At 37.4% G+C, this 25,053-nt stretch overlaps 1 protein-coding gene and 1 pseudogene across 5 annotated transcripts in view, besides 1 other annotated feature; one reads left to right on the top strand and one right to left on the bottom strand.

Moving 5' to 3' along the window:
* The window catches only part of MAP2K4 (mitogen-activated protein kinase kinase 4), a 122,952-nt gene that overhangs the window by 93,715 nt on the left and 4,184 nt on the right, over window positions 1–25,053 (bottom strand). For 3 of the 5 annotated variants that reach the window (XR_007065381.1, NM_001281435.2, XM_011523976.3), the window contains exon 2: window positions 17,816–17,848. The exons of the other annotated variants lie outside the window; for them this stretch is intronic. Coding sequence is in view for 2 of the 3 variants with exons in the window: in NM_001281435.2 (NP_001268364.1) it covers window positions 17,816–17,848 (33 nt within the window). In the remaining variant the exon portion in view is untranslated. The remainder of the gene's footprint in view (window positions 1–17,815; window positions 17,849–25,053) is intronic. 5 annotated transcript variants of the gene reach the window in all.
* Window positions 2,733–3,616: an enhancer, noted in NCBI's record as "OCT4-NANOG hESC enhancer chr17:11949815-11950698 (GRCh37/hg19 assembly coordinates)". NCBI's record gives its function as "activates a minimal SCP1, AML or CMV promoter by ChIP-STARR-seq in naive H9 embryonic stem cells {active_cell/tissue: H9 hESC(naive)}" and the evidence as "EXISTENCE:reporter gene assay evidence [ECO:0000049][PMID:30033119]".
* Window positions 13,477–13,618, top strand: RNU11-2P (RNA, U11 small nuclear 2, pseudogene; annotated as a pseudogene).

The following is a 25,053-nucleotide window of genomic DNA, read 5'->3' as shown; positions in this document are numbered from 1 at the left end:
TCCCACCCAGCCTGTAAGAATGGAAACCGTCTCTACAACATTTTAGCCAATCTGCATATCTTCAACTCCACTGATATCACCATATTTGATAGCCCTTGTTTAACATCTGTTGTAGTAACAGCAAAGTACTTCATTGTTCATGGTAATGAAGACCACTGAAGGATCTACAATAGCTGCCTCTAGAGTATAACCTTTTTGATATAATGCTGAGTTCACTGTAGGTTATTTGGTAGATTGTCACAAAAATAACCACCAAGGAACCACAGCTCCCTGAGTCCATACCCATCTGCAAAGGGACCTTGCTGCTCCTTCCATAAATAGGTGAGGTCTATTTCCCTACCTTTTGAATCTGGGCTGGCCTTGGGGCTTGATTTAACCACAATACTATAGCAGAAGGAATACTGTATGACTTCCAAATCTAAGCCCTTTATGAGGCCTTGCAGCTTCCACTTTTGCCCTCCTGGAAAGCTACCCTGAGTTTGAATGTGAAGCAGCTCAGTCTATTCTCCTTGATGAAAGACCACATGGAACAAAAGGCCCAGCAGTCCCAGTCTTCCTAATAGACCTACTAAATACATATAAGCAAGCTCAGGTGAGACAGAACTACCACCCAACTAATGAAAAGAATCATAAAAATTAAACAGTTGCTCTTTCAAGTCAACTACTCACATGCGAAAGGAGCCAGGAAGGAATAATCAAAAAGCAATCTGAATCAATCCCTTTTAGGGAACACCCATTGACACCACAGGGTATTCCCTAGAACCACCACACAATAAAGAGAAACCTGGAACTGCAGTGTACAAGTCATTCATAGAATACCTTCAAGAATATTGGTATTTGACTTACAAGTATTCAGAACATCACATCGCAGAGAGGGGAGCTGTCATTTAAATTCTCATTTCTTCCTTGGCTCTCATTGTTACTACCTCATTTTCAAAACAGAAAGATTACCTGGAATAATTTTTTAATTATCTGCAATCACTGGTTATGAAATGAGTAACCCACAATTCCAACTATGCAACTTTACAGTCAAACAATTTCAGAAATGAGGAAATAAAGTGGTAGTAAAGAACTTACTTTCATTCTCTTTTCTCCCTAAATTACTACGGTAATGAGAGACCTAATATTTCATAAGCTCAAAAGAAAAAGAGATGTTAGGTCAGGCACGGTGGCTCATGCCTGTAATCCTAGCACTTTGGGAGGCTGAGGCGGACGGACCACCTGAGGTCAGGAGTTCAAGACCAGCCAGGCCAACATGGTAAAACCCCGTCTCTACTAAAAATACAAAAATTAGCCGGGCGTGGTGGCAGACACCTGTAATCCCAGCTACTCGGGAGGCTGAGGCAATGGAATCGCTTGAACCCAGGAGGTATAGGTTTCAGTGAGCAGAGATCGCGCCATTGCACTCCAGCCTGGGTGACAAGAGTGAAACTGCGTCTCAAAAAATAAATAAATAAATAAAAATAAATAAAGAAAAAGAGATGTTAGACTCGCAATATCAGGTATTCCATATATCCATGTATTAAGTGAGCTGCTATCAGCTAATATTATATTGCCCCTATCTCCCCCCACTGGCAATCTTTGATACATAAGAGTGAGCAATTACTAAAAAGTTCATAAAATCTCACTCAGAACTTTGAACTCTCATCAATAAAGCACTGTTGTTCATCCACACAGCTAAGCATTTTGGAAACTAGATGGTTCTGAGTTTAAGAAATCAAGTAAATATCCCAACAGCAACTTTTAGCACATTTTACACTTTTGTGTGTAAAATGGATTTTTAGAAAGCCCAATATAATAATTTACACAACAACAAGTGCAGAAATACCACAATTACAAACAAGTTATATGCCAGGCAGTGGAGATGAACAATAGATAAGGTAGCTGACCCCTCCACAAAGACTGTTTCGTTGGGCATTCTGCCAAAAAATTAAAAAGAAATGTGAGGCCAGACATGGTGACTCATGCCTGTAATCCCAGCACTTTGGGAGGCCAAAGCAAAAGGATCGTTTGCGCCCATGAGTTCAAAAGCAGCCTGGGCAACATAGTGAGATCCTGTCTCAAAAAAAAAGAAAAAGAAATGTAGTACAAGGAGGTTAAAGGGTAGGAATAGGAAAGAAAATTCTTTTCCAAGATGTCAAATGATCACCACTGAAAATACTAATAAATACCACTGGAACACTAATCAAGATACAAACAAGAATATTTCTGTGGTCTAGTACACTACACATCTGTGAAACCAGGATAAAAACAGTCTGCTACTTGGCAGTACTGTTGTGATAAGGATTAATATATCTTAAATATGCTATAATAGTGGCAAACAGTAGACATGAAAAGTGGTAACTACTATGATATTAGTTATAAGTACATATTAAAACCTAATTGAGAAAGTATTAAATTCTCTAGAGAAGAAAACTGGAAAATGTTTGTTTGATAGCGTTTAAACCAACAAAATATATTAGCAACAAAGAATTCAGCTTGCTTTGTAAATGTGTTTAAAACCACTTTCCCATAAAAATCTTATTCCTATCCTAATCCAGGATCCTTCCTAATTCTATTAAACTAGAAACCAGGGAAATCAATATAGACTAGCAGTGCCAATCGGCCTAGTTTTGAAGCTCAACTCTGCTACTTACTAGCTATATAATATCTCTTGGGTAAATGACTTCACCTCTCTGCCTTAGCGCCATACCTGCCAAATGGGATTAATATTACCTTCCCCATAGGGGCACTGTGAGGAGTAAAGGCATTACTATGCATAACAGAGTCAGCTAGATAGTCACTCATTCCAGCTTTATTATCAATTATGATAACTGTCTACATTTATGATGGCCAAGTCCTAAACCAGGGTAAAAGTAGATTACTAACAGCCATGATTCCTAAATATTAAACATTTTCCTCATCTGACAGGATCGGGCCTCAGAGGCTCTACTGTCAAGGAAAAAAAAAACAAAATAATTCACCCTCAGCATTTCCGACCTCTGGCAAAAGATTCATAGTCCTTTTCTTGGGTAGAAAAAAAAAATTTAACCCAGAATACCAAGGATTGTGTCACTCCTCTATCAGTTCCTGAAAGGGTACTGCTTTGACAACAAAAGGCTTAACAGCTCCTATCAGATTCTTAGAACACCAGACAAAGGCAAAAGCAGCATTCTACTTGTAGACTACCTCTTACTATGTATGGAGTCCTTCTTTGGTTAACAAAAGCCTTCAGGGAGAGTTGGAAGGCTTAAAAGCCCAAAACTCGCTTCCAAGCTGCTCATCTAACAAGGAAAAAAAAAATTTAACTCATTTCAGTTATAATAAAATAAGGGGTTTATGAAGCTTCATGGAATGCAGCTCCCAAAACACCCTAAATTCCTTTTAAACCTATTAACAGAAACTCATAACTGATTCATCCATTCTCTGATTCAGCTAACCACCAATGCCATTGATTATAATAGCCCCTCTCTGATCTCCAGTTATTTCACATCAATTAAGCACAGTGCCATCATTATGGGATTCCACAGCCAGCCACACCTTTGAGCTATCACTTAAAGCCAATAACAGCAACACTTTCTATCAGACTCTGAGCCAGATGTCTACTACCAACAAGCAAATATATAATTCCACAGGCTAAATTGAAAATCTCTCTGGCCAAGTCATGATTAGTCCAACCCCATAAAAATTACCCAGGGAGCCAGCTAATCAAAGAAGGCCCTACTGTAGTTTAAAATGTTGCTAAATTTAACAACATTTTAATCACCAACAAAATATAAAAAGCTTATCCGAAATAACCCCCCGAACCCCAATTCCATGTTCCAATGATTTTGCAAGTAGACTTCATGGGAACCTAAGAGTTGGAATTTCACAATTACACAACCACTCTGAGAAGGTTCCAAATGGATACCCAAAAGGAGGCAGCCAGTTATCTCCACCTTTGGTTCAGGGGAGAAGAGAATGTGTTAATAGTTCTCTGAATCCTTAATTTGTCCCTAGCTCATTTAAAGAGTTCACTCATACCATCATCTTTCACAGTCCTTAATAAGAACGGCCTAATCTGCTACATACCTGCACTGATTCCATTCACACAGAAACACTATTGCTATACATGTGCTGAGAGTTCTAGCCAGGAAGAGGAAACATTTGCAGCATAGCAAGAGTCAGTAAAGGTACTCAGCATTTTATCCAGGTGCTCAGACCATTTTTAAATCCATGTGATGCCTAAATCTCTGGCAAATCCAAAGGGCATTTGTGTTTTTAAGCCTCGAACTTGTGAGTATATCAACAGAAATCCCATGAAGACAAGTGAGACACAAACCCAAATTGATCAACCCCAACAAAATTTTCTATGTACAACAGTCAACAGTGGTCTCTTACTTTGCAATACACAGGCCACTTTGATAACCTCTGCCTCCTAATCCAACTCAATATTCTAATTAAGCTCCTCATGAGCACCCCAAAGTTTTAAGTTACTGTCTCACAATGTAACAAGAACAAGATACTCAGATTTCTGGAAAACCATCCACATAACTGATGCTTATTTTTTTAGTAGCAATCTTACTAATGGAATAAGGAATAGAATATGCAAACTTATGAAAGCTATGTCAAGAAAAGTCATAAGGCTTGTTCTGATTTCCATCTATATCCCAGAGCCCACGGAGTGGCTTCTAGTCTGACCTCACTGTACAGACAGAAGCACATATCAGATACTCTCTGAAGAACAGCTTGCTTGAACCCTAGCAAGGAACCACGTGCACACAGGTCTTACATCACATTTATTTTTCCTGCTTGGTAAATGCCATGACATCCTATCACCACCCTATTTTAACAACTGTTCACCACCTATAAGTGAAATAAAAACATTAACCATATTTTATAACTATAACATCAATATTTTTTCAATCAGTGCTTCCAAACCTTTTTTATATGTGCATATGAAAAAAAAAATGTGTACAACACAATGAAAGAAATATAAGTCTGTTCTTGACTCAAGGACAATGACACAGAGCTCTAGTGAGTGGCCCCAGGCCACAGGGCTAAGGGGATCCATATTTCAGCTGACACGTAAGTACTCACAACAGCACACAAATTGAGGAGCTACCAAATATGGTATTGAGAAATATATATTTTTGGTTTTGTCCCCATTTCCTGGCACACAACTCCTTAAATTCTTGGAATTTCCAAGGTGATGTATTTTTTGGATGCTAATGAGTTGACTGATGACTGGCAGCACCTAGCTTCAGGATGAGGGCTGGTGACCAGAAAGACCAGCAAATTAATTAACCCCAAAGGAGGGTTGTGGGAAACCCAACTGGGAGCCGGACAGTCAGAAGTTCTGAAGGCCCAGACTTAACAACTGGTATCTGAAGCAGGGGCAGCCTTGTGGGACTGAGCCCTCAACCGGTGGGATCTGACACTATCTCCAGGTAAGCTGTGTGATAATTGAACTGGAGGACACCCAGCTGGTATGTGCTGCAGAAGTGATTATTTGTTTGCTAGTGGGGAGAAATCCCCCATATTTGGTCACAAAGTCTTCTATGTTGATTGTTGTATGGTGTGAAAGCAGAGGAAAAAAGTTTGAGTTTTTCCTTACATCAAAACAATCAGATCTGACTTCTCCTTCTTGGCAAGTTTATAATGTTATAAGTAATAATGTTATTAACTATACAAGAAAGCCAGACTGGTCATAAGTCATAAGTAATTAACTCTTCTGCACTTCAATTCTATATGAACTTCATTAGCAAGTAGATTAGAATAAAGAAAGCTATAAGATGCAGAGAACTTCCTAGCCTAAGTACCCATTTGCTCCAAGGAAACAAACCATGTTCATCCTTTTCACGACAGAAAAATCACCAATCCAGTAGACAACCCATTATGGGATTACCACTCTTTTTCCCAGATAGATTCAAAGCTGTGGGCCAATTGTGTGCAAGGTAATTTTGCTACAGAAGTACCTGTAGTACAATGAAAAATATAACTGTATTTTGCCTTTGTCCCAGGTTTGGGGCACAGAGCTCTGAAAACCCTTAGAATCTCCTGAGTGACAGGAGTGTCTTTTGTTACCGATAATGTGGCCCTTTCAACCATACCTGACTTTGTGCAAGAGTCTGGTAACTCTCAGAGGGCCCCTATATAACTTCAGGATAGGGGCTGGCCACCAGAAAAAAACAACCAAGTGAGTAGACTGTTAAAACTTTCAGCTGCCACGCCCCCATACACACACCTCCAGGAAGGTGAAAAGGACTAGAGACGGAGTCCAATGGCCAATGATACAATCAATCATGCCTACCTAATAAAACCTCCATAAAAACCCCTAACAATAGGGTTCGGGGAGCTTCCAGATTGGTAAATGAATCAAGGATAGTGTGCACGGAAAGGTCACAGAACCTCTGCGCTATTCCCCTGTCCCCTTACTCCCAATACCTTGCCCTATACAGGGTCCTATCTCTTCCATTTGGCTGTTCATGAGCTGTAACCTTTATAATAAAGCCAATAACAGTAAATAAAGTTATTTCCTGAGTTCCATAAGACATGCTAGCAAATTATCAAACTTGATGGGGGTTGTGGTCAAGTTTGATAATGGGAACCCCCAAATTTGAAGTCATCCAAGCAGGAGTATGAGTATCCTAAACACCCCATTTGTGACTAGCATCCTAAGTGAGGAGAATCTTGAAGCACTGAGCCCTTCAACTTGTGAGATCTGATGCTAACTCCAGGTAAATAGTGTCAGAAATGAATTCAATTGTTGGATACACGGTTGCTGTCAGAGAATTGCTTGGTGTCAGAAAACACCTCAAGGTGTCAATATTGGAAATATGAAATAAAAATTTCCTTATTTCCATTAATATTTGTAATTGGTTTTTATAACTATCCAAATACATAAACAAGCCTAAAAACAAGTAAAACAAATTCCAAGTGAATTAGAGATAAAGTAGGAAGATATGGTTTATGAATATATTTTTCTCCATCATATATCAATAGTTGATTTACAAACAGGTATGAAAATATTATCAAGGATTATCAAGCCAGATGTCCTTCAAATACCTAGCAGACTCCTGACTTCAAGAACATCTTTTTTTTTTTTTGAGACGGAGTCTCACTCTGTCGCCCAGGCTGGGGTGCAGTGGCACAATCTCGGCTCACTGCAAGCTCCACTTCCTGGGTTCACGCCATTCTCCTGCCTCAGCCTCCCGAGTAGCTGGGACTACAGGCCCCCGCCACTACGCCCGGCTAATTTTTTGTATTTTTAGTAGAGGCGGGGTTTCACTGTGTTAGCCAGGATGGTCTCGATCTCCTGACCTCATGATCCGCCCACCTCGGCCTCCCAAAGTGCTGGGATTACAGGCGTGAGCCACTGCGCCTGGCCAAGAACATCTTCTTAAAGCAAAGAGTGTGTACGTCCACATCATCCTAACTCAGGAAAGTCAGAGAGTCTACCTTCCTTCTTTTCGACTCCATAGTGAATCACAGTTTTTTGTTTGTTTGTTTTCTGACAGAAGGTCTCACTCTGCTGCCCAGGCTGGAGTGCAGTGGCATGATCACATCTCACTGCGGCTTTCACCTCCCGAGCTTAGGCGATACTCCCACCTCAGCCTCCTGGGTAGCTGGGATTACAGGCCACCACGCCTAGCTAATTTTTGTATTTTTTTGTAGAGAAGGGGTTTCACCATGTTGCCCAGGTTCAGTTAATTTTTTATTCCAAGCTGACTTCTCTCCACCCTCCAGGGCACACCTGACTACCTTGTCCAACTGACCAATTACTTTACCCTCAAAGCAAACAATTCACACCACTTTACCTGTAATAACTGTTTTTCACCATGATCTGTCCTTAAGAATCCGGAAAGGCAAAAGAATAATTAAGTCATATACATAATTTTGTTTATATTTTAATTAAGACCATTTAGAGAGCCTTCAAATAACCTGTTACTACTACATGGTACCTTTTTTTTTTTTTTTTTTTTTTTGAGACAAAGTTTCGTTCTTGTTGCCCAGGCACGATCTCGGTTCACTGCAACCTCCACCTCCTGGGTTCAAGCAATTCCCCTGCCTCAGCCTCCCAAGTAGCTGGGATTATAGGTGCTTGCCACCACACCCGGCTAATTTTTGTATTTTTAATAGAGACGGGGTTTCGCCATGTTGGCCAGGCTGGTCTCAAACTCCTGACCTCAGGTGAGCCATCTGCCTCAGCCTCCCAAAGCGCTGAGATTACAGGCATGAGCCACCACGCCCAGCCTCCATCGGCATGACTTCTGACCATTGGAAATCAGACAGAACATTCTAATGAGTCCGACAACTCAGTTCTTTTCGTAACAGCACCTGTCATTTAATAGGAACTCAAATATTTCTTCAATAAATAAGGAATCGAAGCTCAAATGTTTGATTTAACATCTTTAGGACAAACAGTTTCACTAAGAGACACAATAGGGTGTTTTATCTGTATTTCCTGATGGGTCCAATTTGTTGTTTCTTTTTTTTCCTCATTAATCAAAATATGTATAACTGGATGTTATGCAGGTTCTCTGAAAAAGTTACCAGAAGCTTTTAGTAGAAAAATGCTAACAATAGAATTTCATGACACAAAAATTAGTCAGACATCTTCTGGCTTTGAAAACGATATGTGGCATTTTTAACTGCCATGAGTCATAAGACGTGGCGATCTTTTGTATACTCCACCAACTTTCCATTTCAGCACTGCATTTCACTATATAATCATTTTTAAGAAATGTTAGGTAACAATTCACAGTCAAATTTAAATTAAAATCCAACTATGTCACTACAAAAGCAAATAACAAAGGTAGAAAATGAGCAGGCATCTTCCACACAAAGGTAATACTGTAATAATTAGCAATATTATACTCCTCTTCCCATCCAAATGGCTTCTTTTGACCCTCATTAAATAACTCCCAATTTCAAAAATATTAACACGTGAATGACACTTTTATTTCCTAGTGGACACAATAAAAAACTATTTGCTGCCCATAAATGTATTCTACAAATTGAAAGTTTTAAAAGGTTGGACTAAATTAAGAATAATCAAGAGCGTGAATGGCACTCAAAGAAGATATGCTGCATTCTATCTACTTCATGTGTATACAGTACATGAGAGAATCTCGACTGAAATGTTTCTAATTTGTTACTTACAAAGACCCAAAAAGAAAATCAAAAGAGCAAATTAGTTGTAGAACATTATGAGAGAGAGACTTTAATAATTTAGTTAAAGTTAGATGATGGAACAGGAATAGGAAAAAAGGAAAGCTGGTTAAGAAATTATTACTGCTAAAGGGTAAATGACACCAACTGGACAACAATACACTGGTCATTAAAAGGTCATTACTAATTAAAACACAAGTAGGTCATCAGATTTTTATTATTAAATCTTGGATGAGAACTCTTACTCACTTCTAATCCTCACCAAACTGACTTTTGATGACTCAATCTGATTCCCAAGTATTGGGAAGGCAATGCCCTGAAGGATCTGAGCATTCTAAGCACTGAACACAAATTTTAAAAGCTGGGCTCTGATGTGGGATTGATCTTAATTTGGCAGGACTAGTCTTGTCTAACCATTGGCTCCTCAACTTCACCAGAGAACGTCTTATTACTTGACGTGGCTTTTGATTATCTGCAAAGATTAATGAGCCCTAATGAACGGGTCAACTCATGTTCCAGGGTAGAAAGGACAAGTATCCAGTTTTTATTCTATCAAAATACAGAGCATCCCAATAAATGTTTGTATATCATATGTGTGCATATAAATACACTTTCATATCCTTCAGTACTGGCATAGTTAAGTCAGAGATGACCAAGGCTTAACTATAATTTGCTTTCAGTCGTATGCCCCAAACACAAATTTTGTCTTTTTTTGGCTGGATACAACTACTATCTGCAAAGCCCACATATGTCTGAAAATGAGAGTCAACCTCTTCCTAAGAAAATAATTAATGTAGGCAAAGTTAATGGGCCAGAACTACCAGATGAAAGGCTGACGGAGAACTTTACACTATATGGATCACACTGGCAGCACCTAAGCCCATTGGTTTATCTTAACAAGAGCTCCAGCAAGAAATCATATGCCTCCTGATGTGATACAACAACACACCTGGATGTGATGTGAAGCACACAACACCGTCTATGAAGTAAGTGTTCTTGCCAAAAGTCTGATCAAGTTTCTGTAACTACCAGTTAAAGGTAAATAACAGGGCATGAAGGAACATGTTAAACACTAAAAGGATGCAATCAGCTAAATTCAAAATATACAAAATGCTACAAAATAAATTAACCAATTTTTTAAACAAAAAAAATGGTAAGGAAAAGAGAGAAGAGGGAATTACCACAGACTTAAAGAAACTTAAGAGACATATCAACCAAACACAATGTGTGCACATACCTTGCTGAGGTCTCAACTTGAACAAATTAACTGTAAATAAAGCATTTACAAGGCTTTTGGGGAAATGTGAACATTGAGTAGCTATCTAGTAATATTGTTTTGTTCATTTAATGGTAAGATAATTGTATCAAGGTTATGTACTTAAGAGTCCTTATCACTTAGAAGACATGTAACACATTTATGTGGATAAAATAATGATCATCAGAATTTGCTTTAAAGTATTTCAGCAGAGATAGCTGGAGGGAAGAAGAATAAGATTGGCTATATGTTGGTAATTGCTGATGCTATATAATGGGTACATGGGGGTTCATTACACTACTCTATTTTTGTGTATGTTTGAAATTTTCTACTATTAAAAGTTTTCAAAAATTAAATCTTTCTTCTAACCCTGCCAAAAAGAAAGTGGGGTGGGGATGCATAAAAATTTTGCTAAAAGCATCAGTTTGTTCTTATGACAGTCTGTACACAGTCTGTCCTCACAAAGTTCATGGCTGTGCCACCTTGTCCACTGACTTCACAGGTCTCCTGACCTACTAATCTTCTCCAGCTGTACCCAGGCATATAAGTCATTTCAGAATCCTGGAGCAATTTATTCCTTGTATCTGTCTAGGCCAGGAGAGTTTTAGGTTTTCACTAAACATCGTTTTCCCTAGTGGTAGATCCCCTGTGTTCCTAACTTCATAGCAACACGAATCTTTCTACTTTAATGTTCAGTAAGGCTTACTGGATAACCTTGATAAGCCTTACAAATGGCTTACCAAGATACAAATGGTAGGTCCAGATCTCATAACCTAGTGCAAATGAGGACTCCTCAAAAGCCATTTGATTTAGAAAATCATTCCTATAAGCGCCAACTGCTTTCAAGAATTAGTAAAACACTAAGGTTTACAACGTGTAAACTGTGACCAGACCAAGGTCACACAGTTCTGCCCCTTATTAGCTATATGACTTTGGAAATTTTATTTAACCTCTCTGTGCTTCAGTTTCCTCATCTATATTAACTATTATACCTACTTCATAAGGCTGCTGTGAGAATTAAAGGAGTTAATATAAAGTGCTTAGAGCAGGATTTGACACACATTAAGAGTTATTATTTCTACCACATAGCTCCTATATATGCTCAATCTCTCAAAGAACATACACTTCTTCAGAGTAGGCTCTAGATTTAATTCATCTTTAAGGATCCCAGTGCTTCTTATCATTGGTAATATCTTTATCTGTCGAAGGTATATATAGATACACATTTGTTAACTGTTAACATTTGTACCTCTCTTTCCTTATCCTTGTAAGAGCTTCTCTAAAGGGGAGTGAATATGTTCGTACGCACTTGATTTTCCTTTCTGATTAACGTTCATTTGGCATTTCTACCCAGGGAAAATGAACACCAAGATGGAAGTCACAACTTTTTCTTAGTGCATCTTATTAACTGTACATTTTTGCCTAGATTCGGATCTCATAAAACCATGTAGTGACAATCCAAATATTTACTACACCTTATCTGAAAACCATCACCCTAAATGTATGAGCTAAATTGAAAACCACTTTAACTGGATTCAGTTGGGAATACTCTCTGGAAACGTTCCATATCATTTCTACTCTGTATCTGTTCAACTCTGAAAGTTCTGTCAACATCCCTTTGTTGCTAGTAGTAAAGTTCAAGTGGCATATAAATGAAAACTTTCTGCAATGTGGGAAAGTCACTAATTATTTTCTTATCAAAAATGTCACACATTAAGCATCCCCAAATTATTTTAAGGTGCAATAGCTGTTAGAAACCTTCCTTCTCCTAGCAACAAAAAGCATTTTCAGGACAAATTCATGTTCCCACCATTTCCAAGGTCAAAGACAACTAAGCAACATTCCCTTTGTAATGGTATAAGGTATAAGCATAAAGTATGAGAGGAATAGGTGAATCCTGACTCTGGAATATACCACTTCTACTTCTACAATTCCTGGGCTTTAACTAATATAAAAACTTTTTTCCAAGCAGATGGACTTCCCATTGACAATTTATCATGGTCCCCACAAATGGTAATAAATATTAGATGTTAGTCTGGCTTACGGCTAATCCTACAAGTCTCATTTTTCAACTAACTTCATTAACTATATATATAAACTTATATAAACTGTATAAACCTCCAAGAGCAGTAAATGACATTTTGTTTCTTAGGATTGCTGACAAACTCAGTTGAATTTAATAATTTCCAAATTATATAATTTTTGTCACTGGCTGCAGACTTTTGCTACATAAAACGAGGAATCAGAAATTTAACCAGCTGAATTTTCTAAGTTCTTAGTTTTAAATGCAGAACAACTTAACCTTCCCTTTGCTCCTTGCTTTTCCTGTTTTCCTATAGTCCACTCCAATAAAGTCAAAACATCATCATTTACAGACACTTCTTAGCAGGTCAGTAAACTTAGTATCTTTCCCAAATTTCTTGGAAGATTCACAAAACATCCTTCTTCCTCTTTATGGTTTCCTTTTTATTATTACCAATTTAAAAAACAATTAGGGATACTTATAAAATCAGTCTCCAGGATGCCTCCTTTTTTTCCTCCAAATATACTGATGTGCAGTGCCACCAAAAACCACCGCCACCTGTACTCTAATTTCAATTCGTAGCATCCAGAATAATAGCTCTGGAGCATCTAATCTTCTAAATAAATATCCTGTTGCTATGTAAACACTTCCAAGTTAAATCATTTTTTAAAAGCACAAAGTTTTTAACGCCACCAAAAACGTAAAAGACAAAGCTACAGAAACTTAACACTACCCAAAATATTTAGAGCTCCAGAACTCTTCGGCCATGAACTGATAATATACTACAGCTACAAAAAAAAGGTGGCGGGGGGGAGGATAGTGATAAAGAGCTAAAAGCACCTTTGTGTGAAAAATAAATTATCAGAAGAGTATTTGCCAAACGCCTAGCTACTATCACTCTGATTAGCACACAATTCGGTTAGGCATTTTCTGAGGAAAATTCCTATGCCCAAAGATCTTTAAATGAGTCACGATTCTCATCTGAAAAAAAAAAAAATTAGAATGCTGACAACACTAAGGTAAATTCAACTTCATAAAAGCATTTCTTAAAAACTGTGTTTCTAAAAAAGGGGGCTTCTGTCATGAGTGGCACACATTGGGCAACTCAACTGCTCTTCATGAGGAATCAACATCAGGAGGTTTTGGAAGAATGATTTTTTTGGTAGTTGGGCAGCTTGTGAGAAAAAAATGTTTTCAGGCAAATCCTCATCCCTCCTCGAAAAATAAAAAATGAAAAAATGGTTTTATAAAGCAAGTAAGTCATATTCTAAACAACTATGTTCACAGGTTAGCTCATTAAAGTCAGTGAGATACGGTCATAAATTATATAAATACCTTTACATGTACAAAAACATTATCTTCAAATAACAGATAAATTAATCAACCTTCTAAGGCAGGACCTCTACACTTATAACTCTACATTTACAAATGGAAAAATATTTTTTCCCTAAAGTGTTCTTACATTCAGACTTCAGAAAAATTCAATGATCCAACAGTATTAAAGGAAACATGACACTATGGTCTTAAATAAATGTAACTTGAAGTTTATTTTATCTAAAATAAACTTATATTTAGAAAATAAACTGAAGAATAGATAAATGCATGAACTATAATCTATAAAAGGAAGACTGTGAGGAGCAGAGTGAATTTTTATTGAATTTCTACAGAGATGTTTCCCAAATTAAATATGTAATCGCTATTTGTGCATGTAAACACACACACACACATCTCCAATAAAACTCCACTGACTTGTAACAGGCAACTGTAATAAAGTGATTAAAAGAGAGTGACATAGCAATATAAAGAGCAAAAACTATGTGAAAGTCAATGAAAAAAATTAATCCTTCAGAGCTTCCATTAGTCATCAGAATCATCTTACAATAAATCTTTTTTATTTGTGATAGATTTGAGCATTTGAAGCAGCCAGTACTCAGACTTATCAGACTTGAATGATATCTAATTTCATGCTCTTTGCCCCATACCCTCCTACAACTACTGTATGATACATAATTCTTTTTAATAAATTAAACATAAGTTTATCTGATAATTCTGAAATATCCTTAGAATAAAAGTGGAGATTCTAGAAATAAGTGTGCCCCAACAGTGGAGAAATCAGTCCTTTGATGATTTCAAGCCTTTATTTTTATTTTATTTATTTTGATATGGAGTTATTTATTTATTTATTTTGAGACGGAGTTTTGTTCTTGTTGACCAGGCTGGAGTGCCATGGCACAATCTCGGCTCACTGCAACCTCTGCCTCCCAGGTTCAGCGATTCTCCTGCCTCAGCCTCCCAAATAGCTAGGATTACAGGCGTGTGCCACCACGCCCAGCTAATTTTGTATTTTTAGTAGAGGCGGGGTTTCTCCATGTTGGTCTGGCTGGTCTTGAACTCCCAACCTCAGGTGATCTGCCCGCCGTGGCCTCCCGAAGTGCTGGGATTACAGGCATGAGCCACCGTGCCCAGCCCAAGCCCAATTTTAAAGAAAAGTGTGACCACTTTTACCATAAAGTTAATGTCTATATTCCAGAGCAAACCAGCAGATTGTCTGCAAACATTACAGATTTGCACTTCTAATTTTTTAAGTCATGCAAATCACAGGACCAGATTTAGAAGAAGTGCTAATATATGTAAGCAACTGAGAACTTATACTAAAATATAGGTACTGATAGTACAAAAATAAATACTGTCAATTTAGGGCTAGCCATCTCTACCAAGTCTCCAGCTCCCCTCCCTGATGTGTGCACTCCCATTCCCTGAGTCTTTCACTGAGGTCTGAGCCAGCACAGACACATCTGCTTAACTCCAAAGCAGGGTAGGCCCATTGTTGGATCCCTAAGACACAGTGTCCAATCAAGAAAGCAGTTATCATGAGACTCTCAGCACCCTTTATGCTCATTCTCTCTCATGAGAGAACAGCAGGAGCAAAGGTGACCAGGACAGATCCACTCCTGCACCATCCTCACCCTGGTTCCAGTTAAAAATCAATTAGTATGTAACATCGGTGGTTGAACACTTATGTAATCAATGTAGGATCAACTCTAGTCCACTAAACTATGAGCTTGCTAACGGCAGGGGCCTATTCCATTCATTTCTGTACCAAGAATCTCGCTTACTGTATGGTTTCTAGGTGTCCAATATGTGATTTCGTGAATGTATATAAATAACTGTGTTGAATCCCAAAACTGGAAAATAAAGAGGAGCCTTCCAATGGGAAGAGGCAGAAATAAAAAGAGAGATGTGAAAAGCCAGCAGAAAGTAGCCACAGTGTAAAGAGACAGTGAGGGCAATCAAGGTGAATAATCAAAGTGGGAATACATATGCCCCTCCACCACATAATTAAGTTCTAACAGGTTCCGCTGTCCCAGCCTCCATTGTTAAATTCTTCCATATGTATCAAAGCAGGCCGCACTGCAAACCTATCATTTCTATAATGACAAAAACAGAGCCATTTAGAAGATTCAAAAGCATTTTTAATCCACATACAAAGCTACTTATAGACACTGTATATACAATTTTACTATAATCAATGTTTCTCTTGTTTTATATCTACAATAGAACTAGGTTAAATAAAAGAACAATAATGTGAGTACAACTTAAAATTTTTAAAAAGTCAGGCCAGGTGTGGTAGCTCATGCCTGTAATCTCAGCACTCTGGGAGGCTGAAGTGGGACTGCTTAAAGCCAGGAGTTCGAGACCAGCCTGGGCAACATAGCAAGATTCCATTTCTACAAAAAAATTTTAAAATGAGCTGGGTGTGGTGGCATATACCTGTAGTCCCAGCTGCTTGGGAGGCTGAGGTGGGAAGATCACTTGAACCCAGGAATTGGAGGCTGGGCTCCAACTTGGGAAACACAGTGAGACTCTGTCTCCGAAATGAACAAAAATAGAAGACAGCCTTTTTTTTTCATTAATTAGATTTTAGGTCAAAATACAAATAAAAGCTAAACGTTGTCATGCTAAATATTAAGCAGACATTTTGAAAAGTCAAAGCTAAAAATTATCACAGTGAATGTGTCAAAATTAAAAGCATAAAACAGAAGTTGTAACTTCATTTCATATAGATATATATCATATATAAAGGTTCACTATGAGCAGGAAATCATATATTACTTTTAGTCAGTTATTTAAGGCAAGGGAGACATAACAGTAATGAACCAATTAAAAAAACTTTTATCCTAGGGTCTAACTGCTTGATCTCTATTATTTATATACAGTTACATTGTGGGTGAACCATTCAAGAAATAAATTTTTGCTAACTACATTTCAAAGTAGTCATAACAATCAATCAGTGGAAACTATGCATTCTCATTCCAAAAAAAAATTTAAACATAGCAGAAATGTTTTTTCCAGGTTAATTTTTTTTGCCTTTGAATCAATGTACTTAAGAATGACACATATCAAAGCATCATTCTTCTCCAGTTCATGAATAAAAAGCAGAAGACAAAACGACTTATATCATATTTTGGTATATTTTTATGTTAACTGGAGAGTAGTCTCCTTGAGATGAGATTTTTTTAACTGTACTTGATACAGATGACATTTAAGCTTAAATGCATTTTTTTTTTGGCCGGGTACAGTCGCTCACACCTGTAATCTTGGCATTTTGGGAGGCCAAGAAAGGAGGATCTCTTGAGCCCAGGAGTTTGAGACTAGCCTAGGCAACAAAGTGAGACCCTGTCTCTACAAAAAAGTTTAAAGTCAGTCAGGCATGGTGGCATGCACCTGCAGTCCCAGTTACTCAGGAGGCTGAGACAGGAGGATCGCTTGAGGGAGGTCAAGGCTGCAGTGAACTATGATTGCACCACTGCACTCCAGCCTGGACAACAGAGTGGGACCCTGTCTCAATAAATAAAATACAAGGTTTATAACTTTTTTTTTGATATAGAAAGTCTGTTTTGTATTATATGAAGACTAGTGTCCTAATACAGAATAAGGATGGTGAGGGAGGCAGAAGAAAAACACTGTTTTGTTTTAAAGAAAAAAATTAAAAATATATTCAATGTATGGTTTATAATAATTCAATCTTAAAGCATAAGATGTCTGAATATAACTCTATACTTTCTGCACCACGATCTTAAAAGTGAATTCTCTTCTACTTGTAATTTAAATTAGGGTTAAGTCTGAATACCTATATATACTTTTCTATACCTAAATACGTATTTCCATATTATATACATCTAAATACCTATACATATTTTGCTATTTCAATTTCAAGTGAAAAAAGTACAATTTACAATCAAGAATATAATTTTTTTAATATTTGGAAGAAGAATGAAAAATGGTAGCTCTTTGAATGTAAAATTGCCATGGCTGGTTAGCTGAAACAATAGTGGACACATTCCCAATACCAAGATGGATATGAAAAAAATAAATAGCATAATATCATAAAATTTGTAGCTTACTTTGTGCCTTTTCACAGAAGTTTATCTGAAAGCCTAAAGTAAAAAAGATAAGTTCCAGTTCATTTACTGTAAATCAAACAAACCAAAATTGGAACATGACATTGCATTTTTATATTAAATTTTGAATAAAACTAATTCAAGAACAGGTCAAATCACATTACCCCCACCAGAGACAATAACACATGAGCTTTCTTAAAAAACTTAGCTCTGTCAGATGTAGATGTAATACATTACATGAAACTGAAATCAAGTTTAAATTGTGTTGCAGTCTTAATCTTTATTTTTCATATATATTTAATAAAAAGAACTACAAGCCCTTAGAAGTTAACAGTAACCTTTAAGATAGTTCTGTCCATTTTTTCAATGTTTTCAACCTACAAATACAGAATGAGTTACTTAACTAACTTAAATTACTGATTTAGAGTTACCCATGATTAATTACCATCTATGATGCAAAAGTTTTAGCAGTTCATAAATTGTGAAACTTACACACACATAAAACATTTCCTAGTAAATTAGCTAACTTCAAACAATAAGACAATGAACTGCTGAAGAGGGGCTGAAATTCTTCTAAAATAGGCCTGAAAAAATAAGATAGTGTCCCTAGGAATGAGAAAGCTGAGTACTTTAGAAGTTACAAGAAGAAAACCTGTGAATTCCCCTTAGAAACCTAAACACATTTTCAAATCCAGTTGGATCTGGTTACACCTTATGTATACACTGTATACAGATATAATTTTTGATAAGATGCATCCAGTAAAGTAAGCCAATTAAAACAAAAGCCTTCACAAAATATTCTTTCACCCCTAGTTTAGTGAGTGGATGGATATCTGGTTTTGTTAGTGGTCTATCTACGCTTGTGTTTTGGGGAACAAAATGAAGGAAGTAAGCTTACAATAACTTTGTGTTTAAACAAATTCAATCAAAACACGCAGAAAAAAGAGCCAGGACTGAAGAAAGGATAGTTAAGTAGTCTTTCCTATCCAGTTATCAAAATTCTTAGGATTCTAAGAAGATGCCATCTATAAAGTACAAAAACTGAAAAATGCTAATGTAGCTACTTTGACATGAAAAGTGTCTTTGGTGCACCACCGAAGTAATCCACTGCTGACTACCTTATCATAGAAATGACAATGCAGGAAGAAGTGAGAATGGAGACTTCATGGGAAAGAAGTACTAGGGCAAACCTAGAAGGTCTGACCCTGGTCTCTCTACCACTGAAGGTCAATATGCTACCCCACCAAATGTGCAGTGGGAACAGAATTCAGAAAGAAAAACAGAGATGTATGGGTCTTACAAGCCTAAGCAACTAAAAGCCACTGGCCTCCTACCACGCAAAATGAGCTGACTACATTCAGGAAGAAAAGGGTTCTCTGGAAGTAGCAGGCAAGTCTTCCCCGCATCCCACTGGAAAAGGGAAGGTAAAACTCACCTTCTACTACAACTGGAGAGGAGGCTGGGAAACAAACAACTTTAAAGCAAAATACCCTGATTGACTGTTACTAGGTAGCAAAAAGAAAGAGGTGAAAAGGAGAGAGAAGAGGTGAACAAAATAGTAATATGGATGGCGAAAGGAGCAAGAAAACAAATTTGTAAGGTATATGAAAAAGAAATCAGTTGGATCTATATGTAAGGTTGTGTTAAAAAAAGTTACATTGCTTAATAAGTGTATAATATATTAAAAATTTTAAGGTATATGTGACTGAGAATGACAGAATGTCGCCAATGATTGCTCTAACACATTAAAAGCTAAGCGCCAGTTTAAGTGTTAAAAAATTCTCAAAACCTGAAATTCTGTCACCAGTACAGAATCTATATAAGTAGCTACAAAGGAGGTGGGAAGGGGATTAAAATGTTCAAAGCATAAGTATAGACTTGTTCTTTGTATCTAATTATGAAGTGACCAGGTGAACGAATTCTGGGGTCTCATCCAAACATCCATCTCTCCACATTATTTCTCACTAAGAAAATACTTGGTAACTCGCCCAGAGTCCACTGACAAGCAAGGTCTAAATTAACTGGAACACACTGGCTCACCTTTTCTTTAGCAATTCTGTAACTTTCTTAACATTATTAAATTAGGGAAGAAGCGTTTTTAGTTAGTCTGTCTAAATCTTTAAGACCTGCAAAAGTCAGAAAGTTAGTGCTTATAGTGCAGATTTGGGAAAGTACCAAATAGCTCCACTAGCTCATACTCAAAGGGTAAGGATGGGCAAAGGGGACAAGCAACAGTCTTGCACAAGAGAAAGATGGTGGGAAGGAAAAATGAGGAAAACTTCCAATATCCTCAACTTTACAAAATGCAAGTTCTTAGTTATGATATAATATTCACTAGTATTCACTCACATATGTTCAATTTTTCTTTTTTTCTTTTTTTTTTTTAGAGACAGGGTCTTGCTGTCGCTCATGCTGGAGTGCAGTGGCATGATCATAGCTCACTGCAGCCTCAAACTCCTGGGCTCAAGCAATCCTCTCATCTCAGCAGGTGCAAGCCACTATGTCTGGCTAACTTTTGGAGTTTTTTGTTTTTTGTTTTTGTAGAGATGGAGTCCCAACATGTTGCCCAGGCTAGTCTCAAACAATCCTCCTGCCTCAGCCTCCCAAAGTTATGGGATTATAGGCATGAGCCATCTCACCTGGCCAATATGTTCAATTTTTGAAGTCTCCCTTGTCTCCGAAATTCTGACTTCCTATTCACTTACTTTAAGTCCTATCTCTGGAGGTACTAGATAATCCGTTGAACCTGTTGATAGTTAACTGGTTACATTTTAAGTCGTGTGTGCCTCACTTTTTTATATCTGGGTGAACTATCTGTACCCTGGGGCTTAATTTGACATGATCCTCCATTTATATTTTCCCCATTACAAGTAGGGGTAAATTTGAGTCTTTTTCATTTTTCCTGGCCCCAGGCAAGTTTAATTAAATCTTAGAATAAATATCAAGAATAATATTTATTTAAGAATTTAAATTCTTAATTCTTGACACTGATGAATCAATATCAAAATGCATAGGACAGAATGCTAGTAAGCCTATAAAAGAAATAAAGCTACATGAGGGTTTTTCCTCCTCCTTTTTCTCTCTACGTATCTCCTACCCTCGTTCCCACATTTGCCCCTCATTCTCACCCTCTTACCTCAATTTTAAGATCTTTTATGTGGCCATAACTTGAAACCTACAATTTACTGTTCTTACCAAATACAGTGAGGTAAGCGGCTGTTTAGGATGTGTAAGTGTTTATAAAAACAAAAAGCAAATGGTGTTCGATAAAGTAAAAAACAAAATGAAGTGTGTTAGGAGACCAGAGTTCTAGTTCCAACTGTGAAACTGAAGTCATTTCACTTGAGTCCTAGTTTTGTCATTTTTAAATAAAGAATATTATCTTAAGGGTTTGAAAACAGTGTGCCTAAATCTAATTTTGCTTGTGTAATGGCCATTATGAGGTTTTGTAGTTATCTCCATTCCCATTCCTCTAGGTTGATAATATAAATCAGAGAGGGTGTGGGGCCGGACATAAGTGGTTTCCTATCTCCTCAGTAGTTGCTTCTGATTCCCTGGACATTCTGGATTTTTGCACTGCTGAAAGTGCATTATGAACTACAATATGAACCCACACTAATGTAAAGAAAATCAGAGCTGCCTTACTGGGTCATGCCCATAAGACCGTGCTACAAAGTCTTTCCTCTGTCACAAGCATGAAGGGTCTATTTGTCTGACACCTTCAAACTTCCAACTTCAAAATTCTGGCATGTGCCTTAAACCACAGCTACCCATAGTATATCATTATGGCTCTAACATGTAAGGCGTTATCTAAACCTACCCTAAATTTGTATTTTCATTGTACTCAGAGCAAGTTCCCCAAGATTTATTTCCTGATGGTTTATTTCTTTCAGATTTCCTTATGTCAACTTTCTGAAACTATCAAAAGGGAGCCACCCTAAGTTAGCAATTCCAGGTTGTTAGAATCATCCACCAGTCAGGAGTTGATAAAATACTCATCAAATCCCTTCCACACTTTTTAAATTCAAGTGTCCTCATAATGCCAGCTCTTTTTCTCTCTTTGGGCAATGACCACCTTATTTATTCTTTGGCCACAAAATTAAATGCCACATTACCTTCTCAAGCCTGTTTAATGAAGCACAGTACACTGAGACAGTAACTTACAATTATGTTCCTTCGGGCAAGTATCTAACTTCTATGAGCCTCAATTTCCTCATTTGTGAAAAATAAAATAATACCCAAAAGAGCTTTGTGATGATTAAATGGGAAAATATATCTAAAATGTCCAACCAAAAGCCTGGACTAAAGCAGGTTATTATTATCACAGGCACTATTATTCCTGTTCTCTCCCTCATGGGAGCAACGATTATGGCACCTTCCCTATCTTTCTGGTGCTCACCAGACCAGCTTAACCTACACAAAACCAGTCTTTCTCCTTTCATTCACAGTCACCTTGAGAGAATTAAAAGGGAAGGACTCCAAACAGCCCTGGAGATCCACACCCCACCCTCTACACCTCTGCCACAACCCTTCCTAGGCACAGCCTGGTATCCTGAGGACTCTAACAACCCCAAAAAGATGGATGCTTCCCCATGACAGGCACATAACCAGATCCCAGGGAAACTGCCAAAATCATCAGGGGAGCTCCTTAATGTCACTGATTTCTTCAGCAAAGCCAGGCAATAAATAGACATAGGCATGTCAGATATATATACATCTGACATATATATATCTCAGATATATATGTCTGGTAACACTTTGCTTGATTCCTCTTTTTTTAAATGTTTGAACAATTTGGTGTCTGTGTGTGTGTGTGTATGTTCAGATATATATGTCTGGCAACACTTTTCTTGATTCCTCGTTTTTCAATGTTTGAGCAATTTTGGGTAAAATGAAATACAATATAGCTCGAAAAAGCTGCTGTGATGTCCATTTTAATCCTCTTTCTCCGTGGTGGAGAATAATGTGTTGTTCTTAAAGAACCAAGCTGCATACAATGTAATTGTTTTCTTCATTCAAAAGGCCCACCTTGAGTTGTGTAAACTACTGGCTAATCATCTCCCTTTCACTGTGTAGCTACAAGCAAGGCCAGTCTTACGACTTGAATACTTTCTATTAATTTAAGTACACATTAAACTCCCAACCTTACCGAGCATGAAGAGACACCTGAAGATTTTCTAGAGTTGGGAGGAAACAGCTAGAAGCTAACCCACATCCACTAGCAAAAATAGTAATTTGCCCAGATTACAAATTTAGCCAGAACGACAACATTTGTTAAATTTTATGACAAATGAGTTCCTTTTATATATAGTGTTAAAAGGATTCTATTACCTTTCAAATCTGCAATGGTTTCCTCTAATTAAAGTCTTCTACTTACTTGGAGATTCCCAATCGAAATGTCTCCAGATTCAAAATGCCACTGTAAACCCTCCAGCAAGTTTAGAACATTGTAACATGAAGTGCACCATTCTTGGAGCACCAAGGCTCCAAAATCATCTCAAAAGGTGGCTGGTTGCTTGGAGCTTCCGCCCCCTGACTGAAACCTAAAATAATCTCTCTCCTCCATTCCTGAATCTGCATCACTTCTGGCAAAGATGCTTCCTTCAGACCTGAATGGCCGAAATGACTTAAAGAGGCTCAGAGAACCATGCAGTAGAGTAGTAAGAGGAGCAAAGGCTACCAGTCACCCAGGTGGTTAAAACCTACCTCTTCCGGAACAAATAAACGTCTACCCCCTCATCTATGAAGGGGACTATGTCCACTTACCTTTAAAGGGTGGTTGTGAGCATCAAATTAGGTAGGAACAGTGAAAAAAGTTGTTAACTGTTACTTTCCCTTTCTTTTTTAAGCCTCAATTAAAGTTTCTCAGGTTGTATCATTGGAGCCATCTGCACTTCCTAGAGACTACAAAGGAGACTGACCTCGATTATGTAGAATGGAGTTAGGATTATGATATCCAGACCCCTAAAAATAAGGAAACTCTATGGGCTCACATCAATCCAGCTTCTCAAATTAGTGAAAGAAGAAAAATTTACGAAAAAAGAAAACGACTCAAAATACAGGGTTAACTAATATCCCATCTTAAACAAGTTTCAGCACACATTCAGGCTAGTAAGGTATTTTAAAGGAAAATGTGAGAAAATATGTATTCTAAAAGTGAGGTGAGATGTTTTTCCACTTTTTTACTTTAATACTAGGGTTGCTCTAATTTTTAAGGGAACATAAGAAGAAATGCAGTCTGAGCTTTGAGGGGGGACTAATTTGCTGAGGTGAACTTGTATGAGGTTATGTTAAACAGTAAAAGAAATGTTATGCAACACACTGGGAAGGGCAAGCAGTTCTGGGGTTTGAAACTCTTCACTGTCTGCACAAATCAGTTCTTTAAAATTAAGATAAAGGTCTCCCATGGTTCTCGAAAACCAGACTAATTAGTAAAAACAGATAAACAAAATCAAAAGCAGGACATTTCATATACATTTTATATTCAAATATTTTTGGGAGAAATAACTACATTGATTTTAAATCTCTTGACTTTTTCTTAACAGATATACTTCATTACATTTTAAAGTACTGGGCGTGTTTTCTAAAGCAGAATCAAGCTATCATCTTTCTACTTAAACTGATACATAAAAATGCTCAGCTAAGGGTAAATAGCTAAGGACTCGACTGGTCACAAAGTTTTCTGTAAATCAGAACTTTAAGAGAATCAGAGGCACCTACAACATATACTTTCTAACTATTTCTTGTAACAAGTATTTTACAAATGGCTCAATGTTTTTCTGAATCAATTATAGATTCTATTCTAACCATTTTAAGAAAACATCTATTGAAAACTGACATTTCTCAGCTAAGCGATCTTTGAAATCTATTACATTTTAAGTGATTAGTAGCTACAGCAGGCAAATAATCATGTCTAATAACAATCTGTATATACTTATAGATATTCTATAATTTTCAAAGCACTTTCACATGCATTAAGAATGTGATTCTTACAATGGCCCTACAGGTTAGGCATTATCCCTATTTTAACAGATGAGAAATTTCTGAACAGAGAGTTGAGAAAAGTTAGGGAATTTCCCTAAAATCTCAGTGTTTGTAAACAGCAGAGCAGTTACCTTAACCATGGTTTTCTGAGTCTAAGTCCAGTGCTCTTTACACTTCAACATCCTTTTGTTTCTTAAACATTACTACATGCTATGGGAACGCTAGCTGCTACAGCTACTACTGGAAAAGGAATCATC

This window comes from Homo sapiens, chromosome 17 (assembly GCF_000001405.40).
Source record: "Homo sapiens chromosome 17, GRCh38.p14 Primary Assembly".
NCBI classification, from domain to species: Eukaryota; Metazoa; Chordata; class Mammalia; order Primates; family Hominidae; genus Homo; species Homo sapiens.
Note: the sequence above shows the minus strand (reverse complement) of the source record. Positions and strands in the feature narration are given on the sequence as shown.